Source organism: Homo sapiens, chromosome 6 (assembly GCF_000001405.40).
Source record: "Homo sapiens chromosome 6, GRCh38.p14 Primary Assembly".
Lineage (NCBI taxonomy): Eukaryota > Metazoa > Chordata > Mammalia > Primates > Hominidae > Homo > Homo sapiens.
Genome location: NC_000006.12, coordinates 169,045,581 through 169,051,201, shown reverse-complemented (window position 1 = coordinate 169,051,201; position 5,621 = coordinate 169,045,581).

Sequence of the window (5,621 nt, the reverse complement as noted above, 5' to 3'; positions counted from 1 at the left end):
TTAATCTTGCTGATAATTTCACAATGTATATGCATAACAAGACATCAAGATGTACACCTCAAATACATGCACATTTTTACGTGTCAGTGATATCTCACTAAAGATATTTAACAAAAAAGAAAAAAAGTTAAAAAAGGATGGAGAAAGACTGAATTATTCTTGAAAAACAATCAAATTCTGGGCAAAATTTAAAGTGACACTAAACATGACTGCATTTCAAATGATCTAAGAGCCTATTATAAAAATTAAATCATATAAAGCTACAAGAAGGAAAGATAAGTTGATATTTATATAATCATTTATTAAGGCAAGACATGGCATAAATAATAGTGGTTATGGTAAAATAGGTTTAATTGCATAAATATCCAAACCTTCTGAAAATAAAAAAATTAAAAAGTTGAATGTTAAATAAATTTGAGAACAATTCATCAAATATAAAATATAACTGTCCAAAAATTAATATAAATTTAAAATAAAAACACTCATTAAAATAGTGACCTACTATTACTCACAAATCAATACATCAACATAAAAACTAGAAACAATATTATTATATATTTAGAGAATAATGGAAAATTGATTCTTGGATACACAACTGCTGGAAGTATAACTTTTGAGATGGATACATAACAAAAGCTAATAACACAACAATTATAATTCAATGAAATTATCCTCTGAAATTGCATAATTATTAGAAAGAAGCTAGCATTTCTCCAGTAGGTTGTTGGTTACATAAGTTATGTTTGAATTATGAGGTCTTAGACTAATATTTTGTGACACAGAAAGTATTTCTAATATATTGATACCTAAAAAGTGTATATTAAAAAGAAGAAAAGTAATCTTGCTGACTATAAAGACAATTTTTAAAATTTATGTACTTTTTTGCCAGCTCTAAGAAGATAAAATTAATTAATTTGTTCTATTGATAACATTAAAGATATTTAAAAGCAGCAAATGTGTAAATTTTGACATATGTTAAAACTTTGTTTGTGTAGACTGCAAAAACAAAGCAAAACAAAAACTGAATCAGTGGTAAAAGACTCATATCCTTGGGGTAAAATTGCAGAGAAAGGCAAGAAACTTATTATTAACATTAAAATAAGGCTAGAAGTAACCTGATGTGGGGCCAGGCGTGGTGGCTCACGCCTGTAATCTCAGCACTTTGGGAGGCCGAGGCGGGCGGATCATGAGGTCAGGAGATCAAGACCATCCTGGCTAACACAGTGAAACCCCGTCTCTACCAAAAATACAAAAAAAAAAAAAAAAAAAAAAAAATTAGTCAGGCGTGGTGGCGGGTACCTGTAGTCCCAGCTACTCGGGAGGCTGAGGCAGGAGAATGGAGTGAACCCAGGAGGCGTAGTTTGCAGTGAGCCGAGATCGCGCCACTGCACTCCAGCCTGGGTGACAGAGCGAGACTCCATCTCAGAGAAAAAAAAAAAAAAAAAGAAGTAACCTGATGTGGGTAAGGGAACCACAAGAGGCTTCACGTGGGGTTTTGTTACATATAAAAATTGTAAGTTCTGCGATTATGTTTTAGGCTTTAGTAAGTATCTGTATTTTCAAAACAAATAAGTTAAAAATCCACCACATGATTCATTTAAACAATATTTGCAGGAATTGAGAAATCCATATACAAGTGCATGTATTAACATGCTAACACTGGTTATCACTGTGTGTTCTGATTATGGGGCATTGCAAAATGTATAAGTTATCAAATTTTTAAATAAATATATTTGTTGTATAATTAGATGAAAAAAATTTAAAGTTCTAGGTGTGTAAGCTTTATACAAAAAATGAAAAGTGGGAGTGGAGTGGTAAATAAATACCATTATCCTGTATATTCAGAGAGTGCACATGTGTTTCCCAAAGAATGGGGGAAAAAAAGCCCAAAATGACTTAAATAAAAGCTCGTGGAACACTTTAAATAGACTTTATAATTACTGAGATCCCATACTGAATATTTTGTTATGCCATCATTTATTTCTCTAATGGATTAAAATTGCCGTGTATACGAAACCTCCTGAAGAAAGTTTCAGAGAAATTAATGTGTCCAAAACGTTAGCTAATAATTCCTTGGAAAACTGCGATTATCAGCATTTGAGACTCTGAGTGATGGAAGACGCTGGTTGACAACGGGAGGTGTGGCTGCTGCTGTGTTGGGGTTGCACAAGGGAGGAGCTGTCCTGGGGTGGCGGGGCCGCTGCCACACCGTGATCTCAGGAACCCTAGGGCTGGGCGGGGATTAAGAGAGGAAGCAAGTTTCAAAACTGTAAATGGAAACCTTATGACATCCGTGTAAAATCACAAAATCATATGTAATGATAAGTAGCTTTCTTCTTAACATACTGAGTTTGAATTCAAAATTATGTGAATTTAGTTAAAAACGTGAAGGCAGCCTTGGTCTCTGCTCAGCAGAATGAGGGAGGAACTTCGCTTCGGGTCCCGGCGAATTCGCGCCGGGGTTCTTGCCTTTCCAGTTAGACTCAGCCCACTGTATGATCAAGTCGTGCAGTGAGATGGGAAGGCTTTGACTGTTCTTGTTGTTGCTGTTTTTAATATTTAAATTTCACAGCTTGGATTGGACAGGAAGACTGACCAAAATACACATTTAAAAAAATAGAATTCATGTTGTTCTGTTTAATCAAGAAAAATAACACACTTTTTTGCCCTCCAGCCACACCTGAGGAATAATTGTCCTGAGGCTCCTCCCTTGGAAGCGAGGCCTCTATGCTCACAGAAGAAAAGAGCGCACCTGTTCAGGTGCATAGGCGACTTGAGGTGAGGTGGCTCCCAACGCCCGCTGTGCCGGGCCCTACAGCCCTCGCAGTTTATCTGGGTGGCTCCGCGTGGGGAGGATAATCACCTCTCAGTGACCTCTGCCTCTGGGGGCTTCTGTGTCTTTGTGCTGTGTCCTTTGTTTGTTCTGTGTTTTCAGGCTTTTGTCTTTTCAAATGAATCCAATCATGAACCAATAGCACTACTTCCTCCATCCTTTCTGCCTACTTTACAGATTACATTTTTTAAAAGTCTCTCATATAAGATATATATATATATATATATCTAAAATATACTTCATGGGAAAGCAAGGGGCAGAAGAAGAGGCTGCCCATCACACAGTGAGAAAACACACATTCACTCATCAACATTTCTCTTCTCTGTCTCTGTGTGTGTGTGTGTGTGCATGTGTGTGTGTGTGTGATGGATTCTAGTTCTGTCACTAGGATGGAGTGCAGTGGCGTGATCTTGGCTCACAGCAACGTCTGCCTCTCGAGTAGCTGGGATTACAGGCACCCGCCACCATGCCTGGCTAATTTTTTGTACTTTTAGTAGAGGAGAGGTTTCACCATGTTGGACAGGCTGGTCTTGAACTCCTGACCTCAAGTGATCCTCCCCCCTCAGCCTCCCAGAGTGCTGAGATTACAGACGTGAGCCACTGCACCCAGCAACATTTCTCTTCTTTAAATAACAACCTTTTTTTCTGATCGGAGCACCTTGGAAACGACACATTTCTCCTCTACAACTCCTTTAGTGCCATTTATCTCGTCCCCCGCAACTGCTCCCTCCAAACTGCCTTGTCTTGGGGTCTGCAGGGCAGGGAGATAAGAACCTTCCTCTCCCCGTGGGATCTGCCCTTCCACAATGGCAAACAGCCCTGCCCAGGCCCATGCTCTGCAGGGTGCAGACGCATGGGACCTAACAGGAGGCACATCCCATGGTTGCCCAAATCAGTGCCCATCACACCCTGAGCCCCCAGAGAACACTGTCCTTGTCATCCCTCCTCCTATTTCACCTCCAACATTATTGAGTAATTGGTTGTTATTTTCTCATTCTGAAATTTTATTTTTATTCTGTTTAATTGCGGTGCACAACATGACACTTTGAGATACATGTTCACAGCCCAGCGATCACTACAGCCAGCCAAATAATGCAGCCATCCCCTCCCATGGCTAGTTTTTTGTGTGATAAGAGCACCTAAAATCTACTCTCTCAGCAAATATCCCATCTATGAGGCGGTATTATAAGCTACAGTTCCCACACTGCACACTGGTCCTCTAGACTAATTGATCCCACATAACTGCGATCCATGCCCTTAAACCTCGACCCCTCATTCCGCCACTCCCCTGCCCTGGCGCTCGCCATTTCACTCTTGTCTGCATGGCTCTAGCCTTTTCTTAGCTGCTGCATACACTAGAGATCTCAGTCAGTGGCAGGAATGCTGTTCCTGCCCTGCTTGCAACCCTTCCTTGCTTCTGTTCTGTGGGATGAGCACCCCATGTTCTTTGGTCCTTGTCCTCAGCAGGCCCTTGTGGCCCTCCCAAAAAAATCAGTGCCCCTGTACCCGTGAGTTGCTTCAGATGCTGCTCTCAGCACACTGTGCAGCCTCGTGTCTCATTTTGTCTCTCCTGCTGGTCCCTTGTGCATTGAGGGCAAAGACCATGACTCACTCGGCTCTCCAGCCTCAGTCTCTGGCACACAGTCAATGCTTCATGCATCTTTGTGGAACTGGATCAAAATGAATGGCATCTTGGTCACACTTCAGCCACAGAGGTACAGGCCAAGATTTATTATAAGAAATTGACTCACACAGTGCTGGGGCTGGTGAAGCAAGTTGGAATCATGTAGAACAAGATGGCAGGAGGGAAGAACCTGATCCACTGGGAATACCATGGGCATTAGCCAAAGGGTCGTCCTCCAGCAGCATTTCTTCTCCTCCTCTGGGAAGTCCCAGTCTGCTTCAAGACCTTCAAACTAACGAAGTCAGACCCACCAGGTGATCCCCTGTCCTTAAAGTCAACTGACTAGGAACTGTAATCACATCTGGAATGACAGTCTCAGGCTTGGTTATAACAAAAGGTATTCAGGTCTATGTTTTGGTTGCTAGATGTATTTCTGTGGATATTTCAAAATTATGTAGTTATAAAAATCAGCTGGGTAAACATATCCTAGTATTTAATATAAACCACAGACAGCAGTTGAGTTACAATGGATAATTCACTTACTTCAATGCAGGAAATAGTCACTTGGCATTCAACTTATATATTCCAAATACTCATTTCTTCACATGCAAAGAAATGCCAAGCCTAATAAAATACAGATTACAAAAATAAAGTTGTTTCTTCTGGTTTCATTATGAAATATTATTTCTAAGCATTTCTGTATCCTAGAAATAATACTTTTTCAATAAAAGGTAGTGTAAGATATATTATAATCTTGAAGAAAGTTATATTTAAGAAAATCAATTGACTCATAACTAACATAGAAATCTAATGTGTGTTTGTATCTCTGAACTGGTGTTCTCACTTTGGACATGGTCCTGTAACAATTTTAGAAGGTGATTGTTTGAACCCAAATTGTCTGCAAAGCAGAGCCTGTGGTGGAGGTTAAACTACTGAGCTTTATTTGGCAGGTGCACACTCAGGGCTGCATGGTGAGACCGGAAAGGCAAGAGAAACCCAACAACCTGAGCCAATGCTGTGCACAGCATGCTGTGAGCCAGTGCTGGCAACAAGACACCAACAAGAGGAAAGAGGCCAGGTGCTGTGAGCCAGTGCTGGCAACAAGACACCAAAAAAAGCAAGAGGCCGGGTACTATGAGCCAGTGCTGGCAACAAGACACCAAA